At 43.0% G+C, this 26,590-nt stretch overlaps 1 protein-coding gene across 4 annotated transcripts, besides 4 other annotated features; it reads right to left on the bottom strand.

The window, feature by feature from the left end:
* Positions 1-1,026: 1,026 nt before the first annotated feature.
* EIF2S2 (eukaryotic translation initiation factor 2 subunit beta) lies at positions 1,027-24,961 on the bottom strand. Of its 4 annotated transcripts, none has more exons than NM_001316363.2 (9): positions 24,814-24,961; positions 18,086-18,263; positions 16,180-16,283; positions 11,216-11,342; positions 10,134-10,234; positions 9,375-9,523; positions 6,393-6,449; positions 3,235-3,320; positions 1,027-2,623 (listed from the first exon to the last, which is right to left on the bottom strand). In NM_001316363.2, exons 1-9 carry the CDS (start codon positions 24,826-24,828, stop codon positions 2,448-2,450), a joined length of 993 nt encoding a protein of 330 aa, NP_001303292.1. In that variant the 5' UTR covers positions 24,829-24,961; the 3' UTR covers positions 1,027-2,447. The 4 variants fall into 4 exon arrangements, with proteins under 4 accessions (NP_001303292.1, NP_003899.2, XP_016883607.1 ...); NM_003908.5 differs by having other exon boundaries at positions 11,216-11,351; XM_017028118.2 differs by having other exon boundaries at positions 11,216-11,351; positions 24,398-24,961.
* Positions 23,902-24,564: an enhancer, noted in NCBI's record as "NANOG-H3K27ac-H3K4me1 hESC enhancer chr20:32698990-32699652 (GRCh37/hg19 assembly coordinates)". NCBI's record gives its function as "activates a minimal SCP1, AML or CMV promoter by ChIP-STARR-seq in primed H9 embryonic stem cells {active_cell/tissue: H9 hESC(primed)}" and the evidence as "EXISTENCE:reporter gene assay evidence [ECO:0000049][PMID:30033119]".
* Positions 24,565-25,226: an enhancer, noted in NCBI's record as "NANOG-H3K27ac-H3K4me1 hESC enhancer chr20:32699653-32700314 (GRCh37/hg19 assembly coordinates)". NCBI's record gives its function as "activates a minimal SCP1, AML or CMV promoter by ChIP-STARR-seq in primed H9 embryonic stem cells {active_cell/tissue: H9 hESC(primed)}" and the evidence as "EXISTENCE:reporter gene assay evidence [ECO:0000049][PMID:30033119]".
* Positions 24,793-25,202: an enhancer, noted in NCBI's record as "active region_17754". NCBI's record gives its function as "activates an Ori minimal core promoter by ATAC-STARR-seq in GM12878 lymphoblastoid cells {active_cell/tissue: GM12878}" and the evidence as "EXISTENCE:reporter gene assay evidence [ECO:0000049][PMID:35858748]".
* Positions 25,223-25,282: an enhancer, noted in NCBI's record as "active region_17755". NCBI's record gives its function as "activates an Ori minimal core promoter by ATAC-STARR-seq in GM12878 lymphoblastoid cells {active_cell/tissue: GM12878}" and the evidence as "EXISTENCE:reporter gene assay evidence [ECO:0000049][PMID:35858748]".

Consider the following 26,590-nt stretch of genomic DNA (forward strand, 5'->3'; position numbering starts at 1 on the left):
GGCCAACATGGTGAAACCCCGTCTCCATTAAAAAACACAAAAAATTAGCTGGTAAGGTGGCGGGTGCCTGTAATCTTGGCTATTCGGGAGGCTGAGGCAGGAGAATCACTTGAACCCAGGAGGCGGAGGTTGCAGTGACCCGAGATCTTGCCACTGCACTCCAGCCTGGGTGACAAAGTGAGACTCCATCTCAAAAAACAAAAGAAAATGCACATCACCATATTAAAGACTTGTCAGGCAGTTATGAAACCCACTTACTTACTCTTGACTTTTTTTTTCTTTGAGACAGACTTGTTCTGTTGCCCAGGCTGGAGTGCAGTGGCAGGGTCTCGCCTCACTGCAACCTCCGCCTCCTGGGTTCAAGCAATTCTCCCGCCTCAGCCTCCCAAGTAGCTGAGATTATAGGCGCCAGCCACCATGCCCAACTAATTTTTTTTTTTTTTTTTTTAGTAGAGACAGGGTTTCACCATGTTGGCCAGGCTGGTCGTGAACTGCTGACCTTGTGATCCGCCCACCTCGGCCTCCCCACCACGCCCAGCCTACTCTGACTTTTCTTTACCATGGAACCCCCCTCCTTTTCCTTTTCATAATTAGGAAGGGTCCTCAACGTTGTTTCCTAAGACACTTTGGAAATGATGATCTGGTTCCCTTCCAAAACTAGAAAGGGGCTCTTGATTGCCTTTGCTTTGTCACCACATTGCAAGGTTCCTTCAGCTGAGCTGTGTTTGGTGAGAGACAGTAGAGACAGAAGAGGTTGATGCTACTGTGTCTGAGTAACATAGGGCAACCCATTATTTTTCATGGGTTTTCAATCCAATTTAGTCAGTTATCTCAACTGGACTCTTACAGGGGCTGCATCAGTCCTGAGAATCTGCTTCAAGAATGAAGTTAAAAACGGGTTGAAATCACCAGTCTATTTGTCAACCTGTCACCAAACTGAAGAGTATCATTCCTTCTCCTAAAGGGTCCCGCTAAGTAAAGAATAACCCAAACACACATACATACACAAAAGCAATGGAGCGTTAATTACATAAGAGGCACTGATCCTTGCTTTATTCATGTAGAAATATCCAACATTGGGAATCGTGTGGGTGTAGATACAAAAAAAGGAAAATGGGGGCATAAACAGCAGTTGGGTTCATCGTGGCAGTTGGTGGCAGTTTCAGCCAGTGTGTGGGTTGAGGGCCCTCTACTGCTTTACCCATCACCCTCCACTGTTTTAGCCAAGGTGTTTGACAACACTTGGCCTGTACTTTAAGGGTCACAGTGATTAAAAACAACACAGTCAAGACATTTGGGTCTGAGTGACTGCTCCTGAGCTGCTTAGTACGAAGTCGGGCAACAAGAAAGCGAGGAGCAGCGTGTATGCCCTTATCCTCAGCAAGTGAGAACAAGGCAGATCACAGCACCGACACAGAAGATGGCCTTCTCCCATGTGCCAGCGGAGAATCCCCTTCCAGCCAAATCCTCAGGAAGCAGAGCACCACACAAGCAGCATTTCTTGGTTTCTCATGGTCATATTCAAAAGCGACTTTTAAATCAGAAAATAGAAAAAGCATTTGTGGTGGGTCTTTTTCAAACCCAGAACACAAGTTGGCTAGGAAAACGGAAAGCTTCCTCTGGCATCCCTGTTTGGACTCCTCCTCCTCTTGGAGGAGTTTCCTGAACCGCACACACATCGCTTCCTCACCAAGAGAGATGCTCAACTAGGATCTTTTTTAGTGTGCCAGTTACAAGACACATTTACAGGCTATGTTTCTAAGACCTCTTAGTGGCCAACGAGGAAGGAGGGTACCTAGCACCTTGTATTCCCTCATGTGGTAACAGCTGGGGGAGGACTTGGCGGTGAGGTAGTAGCAACCATCCCCACATACGGAAAAGAATTCAAATCTATGGAGTCATTCCCTGGACACTGAAAACAGGCAATCCTCCTAAGTCTCAAGGTCCCACCACACTCGCGTGGGAGGCCGTGTCTACTTTAACTATGTATCTCAAGAGAAGCAGAGAAGAAAAATGGCTGCCCAGATGAAGCGCCTGCCATTGTTCAGTTTCTCAGTCAGAGCCCGGCACACACTGTTTTATATGGTTGGTTTCTTGCTGATTTCACCAAGCACATTTATAGAAAAGAAAACTGAAGGACAAACCAAATTGAAAGAATCACTGTTATAATAACTTTAATTTATCTTGCATTTTACAGAAGTCTATGAACGATTTTAAAAAAGCACCTCCTTACCCCATATCACGTTTCTCTGACAGGTGTTAAAGTAGGCAATGAGTATGTCAACAGCTTGAGCATCAGCGTCTTGCAAGGACTTCAGACCAACCACTCGCCAAAAATCTTGGCAGCTTTTTTATCTTGTTTTTAATACAACGGTATATCCACTCTGATGGCAAACCTGTCCAGCCACATCTCCACAACAAGCTTTGCAAAATCAGTGATTAGCAAATTAGTTAGCTTTGGCACGGAGCTGTGCTCGCTTGCCCGTGACAGCCTGGAAGCCGGTTTTGATACTGGCAACAGAACATCTAGAATGACAAGTTTCGCACTGTAGGAAATAGAGTCGTGTGTCCTTCTGCAGGATTGTGTCCGGTGATCGGCATGTGTGACAAGTGACATATTCCTCTGCAAATAAAGCAACACACAGAATTACCTGGTGGCTGCAGTGAGGTAGAGAAGTTTCTGCCTTCTTAAATACATCTACAAAGAACTCCACAAGCCCAGGCTGAGAATTTAGCTGGGCACCCAGACCAGGGAAGCGCAGCTATTCGAGGGGTAAGAAAACACAAGCTGTCTGCTGTGGCGCTTCCGGCACTAAACATGGGCTGATACTCAATGCCCCAGGATGCAAGGAAGCCTGCCAGCTTGCTTATTCTCGTTTCTGTCTAGAGGAGAGCCACTCAAACATGTTGACAGACATGCCAATTTTAAATAACTAGGAACAAAAGGGGGCCAAGGCCAGGCCTGAATCACAGGCAAGTTTCTCTGACTTGGCCTTCAGCCCTACAATCAACCAGCAGCTTCAATCAGCTGGGCTTTCTTTAAAAATCCAAATCCTTTTCTATCTATACCCCTAGTTAGTAGGCAAGAGCCACCTCCCTTTCACTATCATTTTGTCTCTGATCTTTTTAAGGCCAGCTTTTCCCAGCTCACTGCAATCAAATGGCTCTTCCTCTAACACTGCAGCCTCATGAGAACATTTCAGGGTGATCTAATGAAATGAATTATACACTTACTGATATATCTTCTCAAGACATTTTCTATCTGTTTCTGTTGGAATCTTCCTTTGATTACAAGTTGGTTATTACCATCTATAGAACCACTATGAAAGAAAACAAAAATATCTCCATTATTATTGTTTTTTCCTAAAGGAACCAAATTCCAGCACCTTTAAACTTAATGAACTTAAAATATATTCAGTAGCATAGGATAAACTCTAGGACTGGTGCTATACTACTTGGTTTCCCAAAATTTATTTATTTATGAGACAGGGTCTCACACTCTGTCGCCCAGACTGGAGTGCAGTGGCGTGATCATGGCTCACTGCACCTTCAATCTCCCAGGCTCAAGCAATCCTCCCACCTAAGCCTAGCAAGTAGCTAGGACTACAGGCACTCCCCACTGTGCCCTGCTAATTTTTTTTTTTTGGTAGAGATGGAGGGGTCTCCCTATGTTGCCCAGGCTGGTCTCAAACTACTGGACTCAAGTGATCCTCCCACTATGGCCTCCCAAACTGCTGGGATTACAGGTGTAGGCCACCACACCCAGCCTCAAAATTTATTTTTAATTAAATAGTTTGCGTCTAATGATGTACCCATACTAACATCAAATCCAATTAAATCTCCAGTGATAACAATCAGATTTATAATTGATTTTAAGTCTAAAACAAACTGATTCCTTCATTGTATGTGACAGTCCATCCAACAAAGGAAAAAATCTTTTACTGCATCATACCATGTACAAAGCAAGGCAAAGGAGAGACCTAGAAATATAAAAACAGGAAAGGGGCTACGTTTGTTTTTTAAAATTCTAAGCACCAAATATTTTGATTCAGGCATGGTTAGAAGTATAGTTGATAAAAATATACTAAAATTGATTGTGGTAGCAGTTATACATATTAAGTTTAATATGTGATCATACTAAAAACCATTGGGGCCAGGTGTGGTGGCTCACGCCTGTAATCCCAGCACTTTGGGAGGCTGAGGCGAGTTGATCACCTGAGGTCAGGTGTTCGAGACCAGCCTGACCAATATGGTGGAACCCCGTCTCTACTACAAATACAAAAAAATTAGCCAGGCGTGGTGGTGGGCGCCTATAGTCCCAGCTACTGGGGAGGCTGAGACAGGAGAATTGCTTGAACCTGGGAGGCAGAGGTTGCAGTGAGCCAAGATCCACGCCACTGCACTCCAGCCTGGGCGACAGAGCACAACTCCATCTCAAAAAAAAAAAAAAACCCCATTGGATTGTATATATTATTTATATATATTTATTTTTTTGGGGGGGGGGGGTCCAAGGGTGGAGGTTTAATAGGCAAAAGAGAAAGAATAGCTCTGTCTTGCGAGAGAGACGGACGTCCGAGTGGGACTCTCCTGGATTATACACTTTAAATTTGTAAGCTGTTATCTCAATAAAGCTGTTTGAAGAAAAAAAAAGGATAGTTGAATCACAAGCCACAAACTGTCAATGGTACTTAATGATAAACTGATAGGAAACTGTTGACAGGCACTTTTGAGAAAGCAAAGCTCTAGGCTAGATATTATCATTCATTCAAAATTATAAATCATAAAGTGAAACAACAAAATTCAGTCAAGCAGGGTTAAATTTCCTCCTCCACAGATTGTAACCCTTAATCTCCAGGCTACAGTGATTGCAATGCTTGATGTAGAAATTCTTTTTCATTCACTGTCAAAATAAATGGAATTTTCTCGAAAACCCATTTAACCCATTGACCATAAGTTTACTGGCCACAACTTGTTATAATAGTTTATCCCACCTCTAACAAAACCTCTAGATTATTCTAACAATAGAAAAAACAATGCTAGCTTTTGCTCCCTCATTAGTTTGTGCAAGTTACAAATAACGATGGTAACAAATTTATATTTAAAACATGCTGGGTGCGGTGGCTCACGCCTGTAATCCCAGCACTTTGGGAGACCAAGGCAGGCGGATCACAAGGTCAGGAAATCGAGACCATCCTGGCTAACACGGTGAAACCTCGTCTACTAAAAATACAAAAAATTAGCTGGGCGTGGTGGCGGGCGCCTGTAGTCCCAGCTACTCAGGAGGCTGAGGCAGGAGAATGGCATGAACCCGGGAAGCAGGCTTGCAGTGAGCCGAGACTGTGCCACTGCACTCCAGCCTGGGTGACAGAGCGAGACTCCATCTCAAAAAAACAAAACAAAACAACAAAACCCACAATTCTTCTACAACAGAGCCTACGTATCCACCACGGTCAAGTAAATTACCCCTTAACCCCACACCAAGTGTAGCAAATCCCAACAGTTTAAAGAGAGTAGGAAGAGAACACCTTAATTATCTCTGTACTGCCAGTGACGCACAGGTGTCAAGCCTGTTAGGTGATCAAGCTGCAGGGACAGATAGACCTGATTGTATCTATCTTGACTGTGCCACTAACTAGCTATGTGACCAACTACAACTTCACTTTACTGAACCTGTTTCCGAACGTGAAGATAGGAATATTACTTTCTACTTCATAGAACTATTGTGAAGATTAATTGAGATGGCACCCAAAAAAGCACTTGGCACAAAAGAGGTGCTCAATATGCATTAGTCATCATTATCATGACCTACTCTACATTACTTATTTTTAAAGGGACATTAGGCTTCCAGATAGTAGTCAAACTCATTGGCATGGGGTCCATGAGATCTTGGCCTTCCTGAATGGGAATGACTTGCTCAGTGCCTTCAAAAGGTGAGCCCTGAAGACAGGTAAGTACCTATTTCATCACAGATCCTGGTTTCAATGGTTTCTCCAGTGCCACTCATCAACTTACTAGCTGTATTTCTTCAACAGCCTGTTACCAATTTAGGAAAAAAAAGTCTGACTTTAAGAAAACCAATTCCTCTAAAAATCTAATATTTGCTCCATAAAAAGACTCAAGAGTTTCAGTTAGTAACAGGAAAGTCTAAACATGGCAGTTCTGTGGTCCTCTGGTTGGTACACCAGCAGGCCTGTTCAGATGTCAACTCTGTGCCCTATTCCTAAGCAGCCAAGCTCTCCCACAGAAATGAAGTGATTTCACTCCTCCACTGGCCTAAAAGTTTCTCTAATAATCAGGTGAACATTTTCTCTAAGTGTGTTACATATCCTTTTCAAGAAAGGTTCTTATGAAATGTCCAGCAGTACTGTATGTAAATGTATACAGTTTCTTACCTTGTACCCAATTCAGCCAACAAAAATGCAAGGAGATGTTTGGGCTGACGATGTAATCTAAAAAGAAAATCAAAATATATAAACCTTATCTCTCATGGAAATCTCACCAAACTTCTAAAAAATCTGTTCATTGTTTTGATCTGTGATTATTTAGCTATTAAGTGAATTTCACTGCACCATTTATTTAAACTTTGAAATAAAGATACAGTATATGACACCACTTTTTTTATTGTTAAGAGACAGGGTCTTGTTTTATTGCCCAGGCTGGAGTGCAGTGATGATCATAGCTCACTGTAACCTCAAACTCCTGAGCTCAAGCCATCCTCCCATCTCAGCCTCCCAAGTAGCTAGGACTACAGGTGTGTGCCACCATGCCTGTCTAATTCTTTAGTTTTTGTGTAGAGATGGGGTCTCACTATGTTGCCCAGACTGGTATGGAACTCATGGTCTCAAATGATCCTCCTGTCTCAGCTTCCCAAAGTGCCAGGATTACAGATGTGAACTGAGCCAGATAGCACTTGTTTACACTTCAATGCCCATAAGACCATATTACATTTTATGACTACATACATGTGCGTAAGCATCTAGAAACAAGGATGGAAAACATCAACACCGACTTCAGAGAATAACAACTTCCTCTGGGAAGGAAAAAGGGGCCAGGAAAAGATACAAAGGTGGCCTTAATTATAACTATAAAACCACCTTTTTCTTTTGTTTTTGAGACTATCATAAAATAGCATAAAACCTTCTTTTTAAAGAAGTAAAAAAATCTGAAGCAAATGTGTCAAAAGTTCAACATATACCAAACCTAGGTGATGGATACTTGGATGTTATCAAACAGGCTAATAAATATATATGTTAATCCATATATATTTCATGTGTAAAATTTTCATTAAAAGAAAGTGTATGTCTAGAAGGGTTCCATGGTAGCACAACAGAAAAATGGAAACATCTTAAATATTCACCAACTAGAGGAGTGGTTAAATAAATCCATTCAAGGGTGTATTCTACTTTTAGAAATATCTCAATATACAAAAAAAAAAAAATGTACATACACATATAAAATAAAAAACACAAATATAGAGCAATGCCATTCAATATTTTCATTTCATTTTTTAAATCTATACTGTGGCACTGAACTTGTTCCAACAAGCAGGTGCTAACTACAACAATTTTTAAGCTTTTTTCCCCAAAATGCAATAGGTGAGAACTGGTAAAAATATAATAAAATAGGTAAGCTCCTACATTGCTAGCGGGAGTATGAACTGGCACGACCTTGCTAGAAAGCAATGTGCTAATGTTTGCCATAAAAATATCCATTCCTTTTAACTCAGCAATTTCATCTTGCCTTAAGATTCTATTCTGAGCTACTGGAAAGATACATGTATAAAGATGTTCGGTGAAGTTTTGCCTCTGATAATAAAAACCTGGGAGCAGCCACGTCCAACTTATGGAACTGTTAAAATATGTTGTGTAGCTATTTAAAACACTTACTCAGACTAATGACATGAGTAAAACTTTCACAATATATTGAGAAAATAGGTTAAAAACCAGTATGATAGCAATTTATTTTTAAAATATGTACATAAAACTGGCTAAACAGAAAAATATTAAACTATGATAAGTTAGCTACCTCTTTTTTTTTTTTTTTTTTTTGACAGAGTCTCACACTATTGCCCAGGCTGTAGTGTGCAATGGCACAATCTCAGCTCACTGCAACCTCTGCCTCCCAGGTTCAAGTGATTCTCCTGCCTCAGCCTCCCGAGTAGCGGGATTACAGGCACGTGCCACCACGCCTGACTTATTTTTTGTATTTTTTAGTAGAGCCGGGGTTTCACTATGTTGGCCAGCCTGGTCTCGAACTCCTGACCTTGTGATCCGCCCACCTCGGCCTCCCAAAGTGGTGGGATTACAGGCGTGAGCTACTGCGCCCAGCAGTTATCTACCTCTTAATGGTGGACTTTGCAGATGATTTTCCATTTTCTTTAGCATGTCTTTATCTTCTAATTTTTCTACAATGAGTATATACTACTATTGTCATTAGCCAAAAAAATCTAAACTATTTAAATATATGTAAGTAATGACAACAAGTGGTTATCTCTGGGTGGTAAAATTTTGAGTGAATATTATCTCTTTTGTGTTTACCATATTTTCTACAACAAGCATGTAGCACTTAGGAAATTAAAGAACAAAGAGTGGATAAACTCAGTGGTCCTAAGGAAACTGCCAGAAAACATGCAGCTGAGGAGCTCAGAGAAAAGCCATTCCCAGACAGTAACCCAGGGCTGACTCTGGCATAGAATGTGATGGTAATTAAGAAAGATACAATCTCATCAATTGTGTCCTGGCAATGATCATCCAAGGAAGAGGCACCCAAATTCAGGCACTTTCCCTGAGCTCACTGCTTGCTTGGCAGGCCTATCCTAGAGCAACTGATGAGCCTTTCCACTCCCTGGGCTCCCAAGGCTCCTGAGAACTACATTGAGCCTCCTCACTCTTCACTACATCTAGTTAGGATCCATCCTCAGTGGGTCAGCATGAGTTGATTTCTCTCACCTCTGAATGCACTAATAAAACAAGCCCTCCTGGGCAACACAGCAAGACCCACGTTTCTACAAAAAAAAAAAAAAATTTTTTTAAATTGGTCGGGCATGGTGGTGTGCACCTGTAGTCTCAGCTACTTAGGAGGCTGAAGCAGGAGAACTGCTGAAGCCCAGGAGATTGAGGCTGCAGTGAGCCATGACCACTCCACTGCATTCCAGCCTGGGCGACAAAGCAAGACCGTTATCTTTAATAAAATAAAACAGCCCTGAGACTTATGAATTGAAGAAAATGACAGGCTTGAACGGTGAACTCCCTCAACCCCTACACCTGTGTGTTCTTTCCATCTATAATAAAGTCGACAATAAGGACATTTAACATTCTTAAAACTGCAATGAGAATCTGGCATTTGGGATGAAGGTACTCCATTAACCAACTTACAGTTTACAGATATCTGTAAAGTTGACAAAAGAAGTTTTCTTGGTTCCTACTCGGACGACTTGTGGAGGTTTCATGACAAATTTCCTTTTCTCCCCAGCAACCATATCTGGATTCTTTTCCCTCATGATGTTGAACACTCGATTCAGCAGCTATAAAAATAAAGTGGTATTCATGAATACGCTTAGTAACTGCAGGGGTATAAAGTTCCCCTTTGAGTCATGTTGCTTAACAGCAAATACTTCACTTCTGATTAAATATACACATGCATTACTACAAGTCTGGGAGCTCCTTGAGGGCAGAGGTTCATCCCCAACCAGCATTTGGTTCATTATAGATGCTCAGCAACTCCTTGTCCAAAGTGAAATGAATGAACAACCACTCATTCTGTTGTTTCTATGGCAAAGTACATGATACATGGAAAAGTAAGATTCAGGAAAGCCCAAACTAGCAAACTCCAGACTACCCTGGCCCTAAATTAGCTAATTCACCACTGCCCTCCTAATTCCTAGAGGGCTGCATGCCCTCAGCAGTCCACAAATTCAGGTGGGGACAGTGAGTAGTACTACAATGACTGCTGCACTCTGGGCAGGCTGCCCCACGGGTGCGCACCAGGAATTGCTGTGCACTGGCTGTGTGACCTCTCTGCATCTGTTCCACCATCAGTCATTACTTCAACGGCCGTTCCAATAAGATTTATCTTGCTCTTCTTTGAGCACTAGTGAATAGCTTAGCCCCTTTTCACAACAGATTTTGTCTTACCTCCTCGTATGTGTAGTCTCTTTCTGAGCCTGCCCAAGCAGGGCCTGTCTGATTACTGAATGAGATACCATCATCTTTTTTGTTGTCTTCATCTTCTAGAGCTACAGATAAAAAAGATTTTAAGAATGAGGGGTGGGCCCTACTACAATACAAAAGTGGGGTGGGTCTAGAGAAATGAAGAGTTTCAAAGACATCTGTCTTCCCTTCCACAGCTGCATTCACAACAGCCTTAAGCATAAAGAAACCAAAGCTCACAACCCTTTTCCTTAGAAACAGGGATGTTATGACTTTCAAAAAAGGCCCTTAATAGAGACCTCTCTAATTAGGAGTTGATAACATACTGAAATGTTTCTTAATTTAACAAATCAAAGATAAAATAATGCATTGGAATAATTAGAGGAAAAAGTCCAACTGTTTTGAGCACTTAAGAAACATCAACATCCATAAAACTCATCTACTGACAAAAGTTCTCTAAAGACCCTATAGCATTTAGAAACTAATAAAACTGTAAACACGAGTTTAAAAAATTTTTTTAATTAAAAAATCGGGGCCGGGCGCTGTGGCTCACACCTGTAATCCCAGCACTTTGGGAGGCCGAGGCGGACGGATCACCTGAGGTTGGGAGTTCGAGACCTGCCTGACCAACATGGAGAAACTCCCATCTCTACTAAAAATACAAAATTAGCCGAGAGTGGTGGCGAATGCCTGTAATCCCAGCTACTCGGGAGGCTGAGGCGGGAGAATCGCTTGAACCCGGTAGGCAGAGATTGTGGTGAGCCAAGATCGTGTCATTGCACTTCAGCCTGGGCGACAAGAGTGAGACTCCGTCTCAAAAAAAAAAAAAAAATCCGGTTATAGTAATTTTCCCAAGCCTGAATCAGTATGTTTTTAATGTAATCACAGTTAACAAATTCTTTAACTGCCATTATCAAGCCAAACACTGTTTCCTTTCGCTTCCATTATCAGTCAGTAGAAATAAGGGGCAAGAAAAAAATTTTAAAAGCACCCTCCACCCCCATCAAGGAGACCAGGGCCAAAGGCTTGAGTAACCTCTAAATGTGCTGCTGAGTCCTCAGCATTACCTTCATCTTTCTCTAGTATTTCATCCTCATCTGGGAACTTAACATTCTTCTTTTTCTTCTTTTTATTGCCAAGCATAATGTCAAGGTCATCCTCTGGTTCAGTTGGTTCTTGAACATCACTTTCAATCTTAAGATCCTAAGAAAGTGAGATGAGTCTGAACATTTGATACTGGGACTATTCTTTTTTATTTATTTTATTACATTTTCTGTTGAGATGAGGAGGTCTTGCTTTGTTGCTCAGGCTAGTCTCAAACTCCTGGCCTCAAGAGATCCTCCCGCCCTGGCCTCCCAAAATGCTGGGATTACAGGCATGAGCCACCACACCCAGCCTGTTCTTTTTTAAAAATGACGTGGGCTGACATTATTTTGGCAGGGAAAAAAATCACATATTCAAAATTGAAGTTACAGATAAGAAACGCCTGTCAGAAATGGACCAAACTGGCTCACAGAGACTCTGCCATTTGAACTGTGAATTCTTCAAGACACTTGTGGGATCTTTCCCCCTCATTCATCTCTTTATTCTTCAGCCTTAGGATCTTATAATTATTGTCCTTATTTCCAAACCAGGCTACTGTCAGAATCACGGCAGAGGCCAGGCGTCTTGGCTCACACCTGTAATCCCAGCACTTTGGGACGTCGAGGCAGGTGGATCCCTGAGGTCAGGAGTTCAAGACCAGCCTGGCCAACATGGTAAAACCCCACACCTACTAAAGATACAAAAATTAGCTGGATGTGGTGGCAGGCACCTGTAATCCCAGCTACTTGAGAGGAATCGCTTGAACCCAGGAAGCAGAGGTTGCAGTGAGTTGAGATCGTGCCACCGCACTCCAGCCTGGGCAACAAGAGGGAAACTCTGTCTCAAAGAAAAAAAAAAAAAAGAATCACTTGAGAAAATTTAAAAGTTTAAATCGGATTGATGATCTTCAGCAGGAACAGGGTTCAGGAGTACTTTAAAGAAGTTTCTAAGTGATTTTGATATAGTCATTGGGAAAGATTTTTCCGGGTGACACCAAATATGTGTTTTTCCACACCAACCCTCCAATGCCAGTTAGGTGTCCTCCAGTTTATTTCAGACACACACTATCCAGAGTTATCATCAGATTTCACAGGTTTAAGGGCTCAGTTCCTCAAGACTGCCTTCACTTCAGATGCCAGTCACCACGTATTGGGTTCCCATGCTGCCTGCTTCTGTCCAACATGGCTATAAACTCGGAAGTTCCCACATTCGCCATCAAGAGTCAATAATTTGCCAAAACGACTCATAGAACTCAGGAAAGTACTTACTACTGCCAATTTATTATAAAGGATACAACTCACAAACAGCCAAACATAAGCAATGCATAGGACAAGTTATGGGGGTGGGAGCTGAGGGGTGGCAAGGAGGGCAGGCGTGGAGCTGCCACACCAGGGACATCACCCTCCTAGCACCTTGCTGTGCTCACCAGCATGTTAGCTCTCCGAACCCATGTCTAGGGGTTTCATTACAAAGGTATGACCAATTGATTACATTATTTACTTCTTATTATTATTATTTTGAGACTGAGTATCACTCTGTAACTCAGGCTGGAGTGCAGTGGCATGATCTCGGCTCACTGCAACCTCCGCCTCTCGGGTTCAAGTGGTTCTTCTACCTCAGCCTCCTGAGTAGCTGGGACTAGAGGCGCACGCCACCACACCTAGCTAATTTTTGTATTTTTGGTAGAAACGGGGTTTTACCATATTGGCCAGGCTGGTCTCAAACTCCTGACCTCAGGTGATCCACCGGCCCGGGCCTCCCAAAGTGCTGGGATTATAGGTGTGAGCCACTGCACCTGGCCAACTGATTACATTATTAACCACTGGTGACTGAGCTCAATCTCCACACCTTCCCTCTCTGGAGGTGGCAGGGGGACCACTGAAAGTTCCAACCCTCTAAAATCATAGCTTTGTCCTTCTGGTGACCAGCCCCCATCCTAAAGCTATCTAGAGATCCCCAGATAAGGGATCCCTTACTCATTAATTAGTATCTATTTTGTGTGTGCCTACATCCTGAACTGGGACAATGGCTACAGTCATTTCAGAAATCTCATTAGCGTACCAAAGACCCTGTTATCACTTCGGAGATTCCAAGGATTTTAGCAGTTGTGAGCCAAGAACGTAAAGAACAAATATTTATTTTTTATTATATGACAGTCAGCCTGGCACCAGTCTGTGGCGTGGTCTTTGGGCATCACTCCAATAGATGACATTATCAAAGAGGGAAAGGCAGAAGCCATGGGGAATTAGGATCAAGTGATGGAATGGAATGGAAACAAAGTAAAGCTTGACCCCAAGATTAGTTGCCAGAGGCATGGATGTAAACAGGGCATATTAAAACCTAGAAATGAGTCATAAACATCCCAGAAGAGCAGAAAAGGCCAGTCTCAGTTTCCAGCTTTCTGATTTCTCCTTCCTTCTACCAGCTTATCCAGCTCCCTATCCTGAACTGTGCTGTCAACCTTACTCATTCATTAATATCTATTTTGTGTGTGCCTACATCCTGACCTGGGACAATGGCTACAGTCATTTCAGAAATCTTACCAGCAGAAAAGTTGGAATAGCTGGGAGTAAATAAAGCTCAGATTCGGGATCCCAAATCCAGTTGTGTAGTCTTAGTGCCACATGTGGCTATCAAGACCAATCTGCCAGCCAGGCGCAGTGGCTCACACCTGTCATCCCAGCACTTTGGGAGGCCAAGGCAGGCGGATCACCTAAGGTCAAGAGTTTGAGACCAGCCTGGCCAACATGGTGAAACCCCTCTCTACCAAAAATACAAAAATAGCCCAGCGTGGTGGCGGGTGCCTGTAAACCCAGCTATTCAGGAAGCTGAGGGACGCTTGAGCCCAGGAGACGGAGGTTGCAGTGAACCGAGATTGCGCCACTGCACTCCAGCCTGGGCGACAGAGTGAGACTTTGTCTCAAATAAATAAGTAAATAAATAAATCTGCCCATGGTATTAGCTACATACCATACAAACAGGACACCAGATACTCACCTAGTCTCTAAGTCAATAAATAAGAACTTAGAAATGCTGAATATAAGTTAGCATACACTAGCCAACTTCTAGTGCTATACTATTATTATTTTATCCCAGTAAGATCTACTTCCATATTGACACCAAGACACAGCAGAAGGTGGAGAACAGCAAAAAGTATTTTTCTTTTTTTTTTTTTTTTTGAGACAGAGTCTCGCTCTGTTGCCCAGGCTGGAGTGCAGTGGCGCTATCTCAGCTTACTGCAACCTCTACCTGCTGGGTTCAAGCGATTCTCCTGCCACAGCCTCCTAAGTAGCTGGGACTACAGGTGTGCACCACCACACCCAGCTAATTTTTGTATTTTTAGTAGAGATGGGGTTTCACCATGTTGGCCAGATTGGTCTTGAACTCCTGACCTCAGGTGATCTGCCCACCTCGGCCTCCCAAAGTGCTGGGATTACAGGCATGAGACAGCACGTCCAGTCTGCAAAAAGCATTTTTCAAGGCTTTTCAAAAGCCCTCGGATGGTCTGGAAATTCAGGTGGGAGAGTAGCCCAAGACCTCAAAAACCCTTCAAGTGAATGTCCGTGCCTTGCCTGATGACCAGGATACCTCTAACATCCTCTTATGTTATGCCTTCAAAAATAGTATTCAAGCACTTATTTAGAACTAATCTTCCAATAAAAGCTACTGGAGGAATCAACCAACAAAGCCTTGTTAACCAAAACTTTCTGTAGCACATCTCTACATGTCGCCCTGTTACCCAGGATATTTAAATCCCATTTCTGATTATAATCTGAGCATTTTTCTCAATTTCCCTATAGTAGAAGGAAAAGAGAATCCCCAAACAGGGAGAGAACAAGATGAATCCAGATAAAACCAGCTTGTTCTCAAGGATTCTAAATTATCCTTGAACCAAAATATCTCTGCAAACAGGAAAAATATCTTACTCATTTCAGTACTCTAGCAATTACCACACAATACTTCAAAAGCTTGACTTGCTGTAATCACTCATACTTATTTACTGAATTAACTGTCATAAAATTATGACATTATTTCTAAAACCCAATGAATTACTGTATACATTTCCTGCTACATGTGGGATGTACTTTATTCACTTGAGTTTGAGCAAATAAACTACTTATCAAAGAAAATTTTGAGTAGAGGGCACAAGATATTTGGTGTATGTTTGCTGTTGTGTGTGTGCGCGCTCTATGTGAGTGAGTGTGTGTACTGCTATTATCTTGGGTTTTATAAATAGACATGTGGATTCTGCTAAAGTGATTCCTAGGCAGGGTCTTTAAAATGGTAACTCTAGGGAGGAAAACAGATCTTCAGCTCCTTCCCCTTTCATCCATCCACCTACCCTCCCTCCTATTCACCTTCCTGCCCACCTGTTACTTACTCCCTGTCCAAAAGAATTTTGAGATATTTGTATTAGAAATCAATTCAGTAATAAGACTCACAGGGTCTCAAGTATCCACAAGATCAGAGAACTCCATAAAACTAGCCTGAGTGCTCTGGTTTGCCTACAGGCCACATTGTCATCAGCTACCAACCACCACTGTGGTTCATTCTTTGCTGCTTAGAGGTACACATATCAATTTGTATATATTCAATATGTTACCAAAAGTTTAAGAAACCAAAGGAATATTTGCTCAGAAGGATTTCTCACTCATAGAAATAGTTCTCCACAGCCAAAAATCTCAGTATAGTTAAGGACAAGGGACATTTGTGATCATCTTAATGGCACACAATACAATATGTAAGACCTAAATTTAAATTCCTTGAACCACAATCCCTTTAAGATACCTAGTCAGACACACTCCCAAGAAAATGACGCTACCAGTGGCAATTAAGTGCTAATAACAAAAGCAAAGCTAGTAAGAGATGAGTCAAAGAGAGGGAAACATCAGCCATTAGCAACCTTGCAAGAGGTCAAATTTTACCTTCAACAAGAAAGCAATACTACCTTTACACCTTCTTCAGCTTCATCAATATCAAATATCTTTTTAGTTTTTTTCTTCTTTTTCTTTTGATTAAAGAAGTTCAAGTCATCTAGATCATCAGAAGCATCTAAAAAGACCAAGGCATAATTATTAACAACTAAAAGGCAAAGCATCAAATTATGAGTTACACAAACATAGTTCAGCAATTAATCAAGTCACCAGAAAAGACTGACTATTAATTAGTCCCTCCACAATCACAAAACTTATGGTTCTTTTTTTTTTTTTTGAGATGGAGTCTTGCTCTGTCGCCAAGGCTGGAGGGCAGTGGCGCAATCTCAGCTCACTGCAACCTCTGCCTCCTGGGTTCAAGCGGTTCTCCTGCCTCAGCCTCCTGAGTAGCTAGGACTACATGCATGTGCCACCATGCCCAGCAAATTTTTTGTATTTTTTTAAGTAGAGACAGGGTTTCACCACGTTAGCCAGGATGGTCTCGCTCTCCTGACTTCATGATCCGCCTGCCTCAGCCTCCCAAAGTGCTGGGATTACAGGCGTGAGCCACCGCGCCCGGCCACAAAAGTTATGGTTCTGAAAAACAAAATGGTAGGTCATCTCAAAGATCTATAGGAAAAATCTGGTTAGGGGACCATGTTGAGAATATTTATTTAGTAATCTGACCATATCACTCTTCACTGTTCCCAAGACAAAGTCAGAGCTCTAACACAATTTCCAACTCTCCAACTTTAAATCTTCCACTTCTGCTTCTTGCCTTCCTCACTTCAATCCCTGGTTCTAACCCTACTGAACTACTTTCAGTTCCTACTGCAATATACGTGCGGTCTCTCACCAACAAACCTTCCCGTGGGCCCTCTTACCTCCATCTCACAGGATCTTGGTTAAATTACTTCCACCAAAGCCTTCTCTAAGCTTATCCATCTTTCCCCACAACTGGGTTAGGTATCCCCAGAGTGATTGGATAGTATCTTCTGCTTACTCCAACTGAGGTACTTATTACCAGCTTGCTTATCTATCTCCCTACTCAATACTAAGAGTATATGCCTTGTTCACCTAAATTCTACTGTCTAGCTCAACATTTTATTGAATCAACTAATCATCAAAAGGCCTAACAAATTATTTCACATTCATTAAAATACAGCTGTGCAGTAAATACAAGTTATCAGTGAAATTTTACCTACCATTAATGAGTAATAATAGGTTCTGTTCAACAAGTTTTCCATTTGACCTGCCATGTTATAAACTAGAAATATTTTAGGATCCTTCTGCTACAAAGTTTTTCAAGAAACTATTTACAAATCCATTTTATCTTATTACAACAGGAATGAGTTACTTTCCAAATTTGTTTTAAACATGTAGAAGACACTTAGCACAGGGCAGATGCTCAGTGAATGTCAGTTGTCTCTATCCTGGCACAGTGTTATATTCAACAGACACATACAATGTTTATAGAAACATTTCTCTCTAACAGTCAAATTATGTCTATGTTACAGCACAGGGGTAAGTAACTAAAGCTGGTGTCTAACCCCAAATACTTTAGGCTATAATTTTAATCTCTCATATACATTTTCAGACTTGCTAAGACACAAAACTGCCTATCTTAGTACCATTTCTTTCTGCCCACACTCAAATACAACTACCATTAAAAAGTCAGAGAAGAGACCTGATGGGTTCAACTGGAAAACCAGCTCTGGAACAGCAAGGTTTCATCTTTGCAACTTGTGAATTAAATGGAAACATCCCTGCAACAAGCCTATCAGAAATCTAAAAAGGTCCACTGCATACAGACTACTGATGGCCTTGACTTCACTGGAACAGCCTTGTCAGGCTGAGAGGTCGCTGCATATCCAAAAGCCAAAACGCTCATAGAACCAGGGCTTCTATGACAACAGTAACTCTCTCACATCAACCACGCACCTTTTTTCCTAGTGTCCTCTTCATCAGCTTCCAAATCCTTGTCCTCAGTTGGCTCTGGCTCCACTTCTTTTGTTTCTGAAGGCTGGGTTTCCTCTGTTTGGGTATCCCCTTCCTCATCTAACATAAAAGGCTTCTTCTTCTTCTTTTTCTTCTTGCTCATAGTAGGATCAAAAATCATCTGTTTAAAAGACAAAAAACAAAAAGGGACCAAATGATTGTTTTTAATGATGCTCACATTCCAAATATGCTTTATCCTCAAAAGGCATACTCTTAAAAGAGTATGTGATACATTAAAACACCAAAGGGGAGTTTACCAAAAAATAAAATAAATTGTCCACCCAACCTTCTTGTTACTATTAAACATCAGGTGAACTGAAACATGTACACATCTTTCAATTTGTAAAGTATCACAGATACTTCACTTTCACTTTCATGAGCAAATTTGGACATTTGAATGAATCATGGAATTTAGGGAAGGGACTTTGGCAACAACCTATGCTATGCCCCTCACTTTACAGATATAGGAAAACAATACCTAAGCGGGGTGTAAATTTTTTTGTATTGTTTTTTCTTTGAAACAGGGTCTCACTGTTGCCCAGGATGGAGTGCAGTGGCATGATCACAGCTCACTGCAACCTCAACCTCCTGGACTCAAGTGATCCTACCATCTTAGCTCCCCAAGTAGCTGGGACCACAAGCATGTGCTACCATGCCCAGCTAATTTTTTTATTTTGTAGAGACGGGGTCTCCCTCTGTTGTCCCAGGTGGTCACAAACTGCCAGGCACAAACAATCCTCCCACCTCGGCCACACAAAGCAATGGAATTACAGGTGTAAGCCACCGCACCTGGCCAGGGGTATCAATGTTTTATTCAAGGCTGGTAACTTGGGGCTGTTACACAGAGACTTGAGAGACTTTTGACCTGATTAAAAAAACAAAATTTTTTTTAACTACAAATCTTCAAGGAAATCCATCAGCAACTCTTCATATAGCAAATCTCTGAGTAAGAGAAACCTCTATACAACATTTCACTCTGCTTTTTGTTTAACATTAAAGGTTCTTTTTTTTTTTTTTTTTTAAATGAAACAGGGTCTGGCTCTGCTGCCCAGGTTGGAGTGCAGTGGCATGATCTCAGCTGAATCCAACCTTGACCTCCCAGACTCACACCATCCTCCCACCTCAATTTCCTGAGTAGCTGGAATTACAGGAGTGCACCACCACACCCAGCTATTTTTTGTATTTTTAGTATTGATGGGGTTTCACCATGCTCCCCAAGCTGGTCTTGAACTCCTGGGCTCAAATGATCCACCAGCTTCAGCCTCCCAGTGTTAGGATTACAGGTGTGAGGACCATGCCTTGCCCCAAAATTCTCTTATTCTTATCTAAATGTCCACTATAGAGTAGGTGAAAAACTAATTTATAATTTGTAGACTATCTGCTTGCACTGATCACTTGAAGAAAGAAAAGTTATCTAGACATAATAGTTTAAACAACATACAGGGCAGACACCTGATAGAGTAGAAAGCGCAGGAGGCTGGGTGCGGTGGCTCACGCCTGTAATCCCAGTACTTTGGGAGGCCGAGGCGGGCGGATCATGAGGTCAGGAGATCAAGACCATCCTGGCTAACATGGTAAAACCCCGTCTCTACTAAAAATACAAAAAATTAGCAGAAGGTGGCGGGTGCCTGTAGTCCTAGCTACTCGGGAGGCTGAGGCAGGAGAATGGTGTGAACATGGGCAGTGGAGCTTGCAGTGAGCCGAGATCGTGCCACTGCCCTCCAGCCTGGGTGACAGAGCAAGACTCGGTCTCGAAAAAAAAAAAGAAAGTGCAGGGTCTTTGAAGTCAAATAGAACCTGATTCAAATCCCAAGTATTTTTTTCCTGAACCCCTTACCAATCTCTCTCCATATTCTATTAATACCATGCTTAAATTCAGCATTTTGCCCAGTGATCTGCTGTGGACAGCGTTAATAGTAAAGTGTTTAAAAGCACAAGTCTGGAGCCCATCTGACTAGATTTAAATTCTGACTCTGGCTTGTACCTGTGTTATTCCACGGCTCATGTGTAAAATGGAGACAAGTAGCAGAATGACAACAAACCACACAAGGTTACTGGGAGGGTTAAAGAAGTATGTAAATGTAAAACACTTGCCATAGTGCCTGGTACGTAAGTACTCGATAAATATTAGCAATTGTAATTTATATAATACTTTACCATTCATAAAGCATGGTTTTCTCTTGATTCCTATCACTGAAATTTCATCAATTCAGGTGCTCTAATTTCCCAAACATATAAAACTCTCAAAAGCTTCCCAAAATTGATTATAACATAAACTTATTTATGTCCCAAGATCATTAATGGAACTAGACTGAAACCAAGCTACAGTCTGTAATAAGGTAATACAGTTACTGTCCTTGCCCAGTAGAGAAGTATGGTATTTGCATAGCATTTTCAAAGTTAGTCTTTTCTCCCTTAACAAGGATCCAACTGTATAAATAATTAAATCTGAAATGCAGTCAGTCTGAAGAACATTATCTGGCCAACTTAAAGAAGTGTCCCTACCAAGATAGAAGAGCAAAGAGGAAAGAGTCCCCCACTGCAAGGAGTACTGCAATAATACAGGGAAGTAGCTACATTTCATCTTCATTCTAGAAATAGGGAGACTTGGCAAAAGGACAGACAAAACTCTAGACACTATAAATTTGGTTCTGGAAGGGATTACCATCCATTTATTGCATTTTTTCAAGCATCAAGTTCCCTAGAATATTAATTGCCTTTTAACCATTATTCATCAAGACAGACTGAAGATGGCAAGGATCCTGATATCACCAGAAGACAGCCTCACAAGTGCCTTCTTATCCCCTGAAAAACCTTATGGTCTACAGCTAAACAGTTTGGTTGTAGCCTTGTAAAGGATAATAAACATCCAGGAATCATAAACTGAAATAATTAACATCTCTCTCAATTACTGTCTGGATACTTAACATACATACTCATTGCCTTATTTTATTCATACCATCCTGCGAAGTACAGTTTACAAATAAGGACCAGGGATCCCGAAGCAGCACCCAAAGCAGACCTCCCCAAAAATGAGGCCATGTTAGTCTTGACTAAAATGGCTTTTTAAGACTTTCATGTCTAGCTTCCAAATTATAAGCTGACTACACTCCAAATTGGTTTTCTTTTATGAAACTAGTTTGGATTTGAAAAGCAAATAGCTGTTGACAGTGCACATATGGAAAACTACAGATCACTTGAGTTATATTTTAGGTTCACAACAAAGCCTTCAAAAGCATAAATTTTCTATTTTCAACTTCTCACGTTTGATTGGAGAGGGCAAAGAAAAGGTATACCAGCTAAAATTACCCTGATGCTCATCAAATTAGAAGCTTCCTCTCATAGATCATACCTTACCCAAGAAATCAACTTTATAGTCATACTATACCCAGAAGCAGGTGTGAGTCACAAAAGAACCCACAGAGAAGCAAGACATTGATCTAAAAGTTCCTTCCAAAGGTGACCAGAACAAATGCTAAGTGTTGCCATCTCTGTGTGATAGGATTGTGGGATTTTTTTTTTTTTTTTTAGGGACGGGAGTCTCACTATGTTGCCCAGGCTGAAATGTAGTGACTACTCTCAATTGTAATTATAGCGCACTGCAGCCTCGAACTCCTGGCCTCAGCCTCCTGAGTAGCTGAGATTACATGTGAATGCCACCATGCCTGGCTTAGATTCTGCTGTTTTTCTTTGTATTCTTTTGTGTTTCATTAACTTCACACAACACACATCCCATTTTGAATCAAATACTTTTTTTTTTAATTTAAAGCTTCTTTTTGCAAAAACACCTTACCATATTTTATGAAAACCCAATGTTCTGACTCCTTGTGAATGGGACCTAGTAGCAAGTAGGCAAGTATTAAATATTGATGCTGCTTTTAACAAATAGTCTGAAAATTACTGAATGCCTATTGAGTAGGGGATTTTTCTTTTCCCTTACCAGGTAGCAGCCATATTTCTAGGATTCTGCTTTTTAAAGATCATGGTTCCATGTTGGGAGGCTGAGGCAGGAAGACTGTTTGAGGCCAGGAGTTCAAGACAAGCTTGGGCAACAAAGCAAGACCTCATTTCTACAAAAATTAAAAAATTAGCGGGTGCAAGAGCATGCACGTGTAGTCCCAGCTACTTGCGAGGCTGAGGCAGGAGGATCCCCTGAGCCCAGGTGACAGAGGCCACAGTGAGCTATGATTGTGCCACCGCACTCCAGCCTGGGAAACAAGAGCGAGACCCTGTCTCTAAAAAAACAAAACAACAAAAACAAACAAAAAAAATCATAGTTCTACTAGGTTGAAAATCGTTATGTTTTGGCAAGTTTCTGGCTTAATTACCAGGTTTAAAAATAAATGTGTGCAGTTTATTTCAATTATACATCAAGAAAAAAAAAAAACAAAAACAGAAGGCTGGGCATGGTGGTTCACGCCTGTAATCCCAGCACTTCAGGAGGCTGAGGCAGGCGAATCAGAAGGTCAGGAGTTCAAGACCAACATAGTGAGACCCCGTCTCTACTAAAAATACAAAAAAAAAATTAGCTGGGCATGGTGGCAGGCGCCTGTAATCCCAGCTACTCAGGAGAGGCTGAGGCAGGAGAATTGCTTGAACCCAGGAGGCGGTTGCGGTGAGCCGAGATCACGCCACTGCACTCCAGTCCAGCGACAGTGCGAAATTCCATCTCAAAAAAAAAAAAAAAAAAACAGAAATATGAATAAAACAGAAAATTACTTTTTAATAGCAGCCTCTTTAATTGTCTAGCCTGACCACCAGGCAGGATTACTTCCACTCTGGGAAAGTCCTTGGCAGTTTATAAATCATTTTCAAGTACAGAGTTTTATCTGATCCTCACAAGTCTGTACAGTAGCCAGATGTTAAAGGAATGGCCTAAAAATACTTACCTAGTCAACAGCACTACAGGAACCAGGCCCTATACCCTATTCTTCATACCCCTCTCTACTCCTAACTTCTACCTGGCAGAATGGAAGCCAAAGACCAGGGTTCTTGTCCTACTAACTTTCTGCATGATCTTGGACAAGTTAATCTCCCTCGGCCCTGGTTTCCTGTAAAATACAGTTGGACCGGCACCCCTAAGTGGCCAAACTAATACTTTATTGGCTTCCAAAGTCCTATGCCGAAATGCTGGTTCTGCCATCTTTGCTTCACAAAATTCTGTTCATCCAGCAGTAATGCATTCATATTCCACTTCTTTCAAAGCCTAATCCCACTGATCCCTCTAGCCCTCCAAGTCACTACGTTGATGGTCCTATTTCTACCTTGTGTGTCATCTAGTTGACCCATACACAGAATAACACCCCATGGAATCTTGCACACGTAAGTACTGTATTTGCCAAAGGTTATGAGAAGTTTGAAAAATGAGTAGAAACAAAACAAGTGTGAAACACTGCCACTCTCAGAACTTTTGAAATACAGCAGCCTAGAGCAATGTCTATAACCGCCAAGGACCATATACAAACTTTCAGTTTCTCTAACCCATTAAGATCCTAGTCAATCTGGAATTCTACTGGTTTAGCCACTTAGTATTTGATCATGGGCATTATACAACTCTGTAACACTCAAATTTTTCATCTCTAAAATGGGCACAACAATAGACCTATTTTACAGGACTGTTGTGAGAACCAAGTAAGAGACTGGAATCCCGTCCAGAATATATTCCAAATTCCTTAACTTCGTCTTCACAGCCCTCCATGAACTAGTCATTACCTGCTTGGCAAGTGTTCACCCCTTAACTCTAATCAAACTGGAGATTATTCTACTTCCTGTGAGCACATTTACTGGCCTTTCTCGACCATTCCTTTGCCCTTGTGATCAAGGCTTCCTATTGCCTGAGGAAATTCTCAACAACTTACGGGGCCTCCCCCAATGTTAAGCAATACCTACTGGGAGTACTTAACATCAACTTCATTTTAAGTCGTTAGACGTTATATCAACTAGGATAAATCTGAGGGAAAGGGATTTGAGGAAATTCACTGAGATCCAAGTACCACGGTAAAAAAAGATCCAGCCAGTTTCACAGCCCGCACTTCCCGCTCACGTCGCCGGTAGCCCTCTGTTAAGGGAAGCTCAGGGGCTCGCCCGGAAACTTTCCGGGAAGGTCAGTCACTTCCTGAGGCTGCAGAATCTTTTTCTCTCGTTCTAACCCCATCACCCCCTCGTCTTTTTAAAAAACAATGCTAGGAAGGCAAACAAGGGCGGGATACCGGCCCCGACAAGATAGCCTAGAAAGTTTTAACGAGGGCGTTATACCAAGCCAAGAGAGGCTCCTCGCGGCACCCCTGGCACCCCCGGCACCCAGTGAGGCGAGCTGGGGCGGCAGTGCCCAGCAGAAAGGAATGCAGGGATCGCCAGCCCCAGTCTCGTTCGGGGTTATTAACCGGGCATTCGAGCCCCTTCCGGGAGGACGACTCAACGTGTGCTCTCCATTCCGGAAACGCCAACCACGGCAGGAGGTCCGCCTCAGCGCTGCCGCCCTGAGGAAAGCGGGCTGCGGCCAAGCCTGCGGCTCCGGAGTCCTCGCCGGCTCTGCCGCTCCGGGCCGCCTAGGCGCGGCTGCCTCACATGGCGGCGGCCGGCTGCTAGGCCGCAGGCCCGTTCTCCCACACTGGAGTGGGTTAGGCTTCTCGCCTCAATCCTTAGCCCTTACGCCGGGCTCAGATCCTCACCTCGTCCCCAGACATGGCTGCGGCTCGAGTGGGCTCGGCACGGACGGGAAGTCAGACGGGTCAGCCCCAGGCCCCGGCGGCAGCGCTGCCCCTGCCGATACCTCTCCCACCACCGCACTAGGCTCTTGCATCAGCGAAAGGAAACGACACCCCGCCCTCTCCTCCAAGCGTTGGAAATGCGCCTGCGCAGAGCTCGCCAAGGCGCAGGCGCGCAGAAGAGCCAACCTAGCGCGCTTCGTGTGGCGCGAGTTACCAGGCGACGCCGCGTCGCCAGGCATGCCGGGACTTGTAGTCCATTTATAAGAGGGTTGCGCTTGCGCTGTAGCCGCCCAGCGACCTGTGCGCGGCGTCTGAGCGAGCTGCAGCCGGAAGAACATTCGGTTGTTGATATTGCCTCAGCCTTTTGGAGCATTCTTTTGCGCTGCTTGTAGAGTGAATTGGGGTCCCTTCCTCCTGGGTTAGGGTAGTGGGTTAGACACTGAGTCATATGAACCCGCTGGAGCTTTAGTTTCCCACATGACCCCCGGGCGTCATGGTGTTTGAGAAATTCTGAGTTGGAGCTAGAGGCGCCCACCTCCCTAAGGGTTTTTACTTCGTAAGAAATTTGACGGCTGGTTTTCTGCTTGGGAGGTCAGAAACCAAAGTATCTTCCCGGTCTTCCCCCGGGAGAGATAACATCTCCTGAGGAGAAACAACCACGCAAGAGGCAGCTGTCGGGGAGCCTCAGAATACTTGTTTATGAAATCTGATTGAATGGGTGCGCCACGCAATTTCCCTTGAGACCTAACAACAGCAGCGACCCTTTAGGGAGCTCTCACTGCGGCTGTGCTCTCCAGCCAAAGACCATCGAGAACACTCCTGTAGCTGGACAAAGTGGAGTTTATGGTCTTGCAAGTAGGGCAGTACGCCGTGGGAAACACCGGGACGTCTTTGGAAGAGGGTGTTGGAAAGAATTTACAGGGTTTGGGCAGGGTTTAAGGAAGCAGAGCTTCTCTCTGGATTAGATGCAGTCAGGAGGTGGGGGTAATTCTATGATTGGGTAATTTAATAATTCTTTTTTTTTTTTTTTTTTTTTTTTGAGACTCGCTCTGTTGCCCAGGCTGGAGTGCAGTGGCGCGATCTCGGTTCACTGCAGGCTCTGCCTCCTGAATTCAAGCGATTCTCCTGCCTCAGCCTCCCGAGTAGCCGGAATTACAGGCGTGAGCCAGCTCGCCTGGCCTATAATTCTTACATGATAAGAAAGTAGAACTGGCCGGGCGTGGTGGCTCACGCCTGTAATCCCAGCACTTTGGGAGGCCAAGGCGGGCGAATCACCTGAGGTCAGGAGTTCAAGACCAACCTGGCCAACATGGCGAAACATTGTCCCGACTAAAAATACAGAAATTTGCCGCGTGTGGTGGTAGGCGCCCATAATCCCAGCTACTCTGGAGACTGAGGCAGAGAATCGCTTGAATTCGGGAGGCAGAGGTTTCAGTGAACCGAGTTTGCGCCACTGCACTCCAGCCTGGGTGACAGAGTGAGACTCCGTCTCAAAAAGAAGAGAAAGAAAGAAAGAAAGCAGGAGGGAGGGAGGGAAGGAAGGAAGGAGGGAAGGTAGAACCAAGTGAGGCTAAAGCTGCAATTGGTTAAAAAAAAAAAAAAAAAAAAAAAGCTCTGCCTCCCGAATTCAAGCGATTCTCCTGCCTCAGCCTCCCGAGTAGCTGGAATTACAGGCGTGAGCCACTGTTCCCAGCCTATAATTGTTACATAATAGGAAAGTAGAACTGGCTGGGCGCGG

This window comes from Homo sapiens, chromosome 20 (assembly GCF_000001405.40).
Source record: "Homo sapiens chromosome 20, GRCh38.p14 Primary Assembly".
NCBI lineage: Eukaryota > Metazoa > Chordata > Mammalia > Primates > Hominidae > Homo > Homo sapiens.

What these genes read in the sequence shown, in the direction of transcription:
- EIF2S2 (NM_003908.5), bottom strand. An exon ending in AGAGGACACTAGGAAAAAAG is followed by an intron (nt 16,284 to 18,085) that starts GTGCGTGGTTGA and finishes TGGTCTTTTTAG; the next exon opens with ATGCTTCTGATGATCTAGAT. An exon ending in TTGGCTGAATTGGGTACAAG is followed by an intron (nt 3,321 to 6,392) that starts GTAAGAAACTGT and finishes TTTCTTTCATAG; the next exon opens with TGGTTCTATAGATGGTAATA.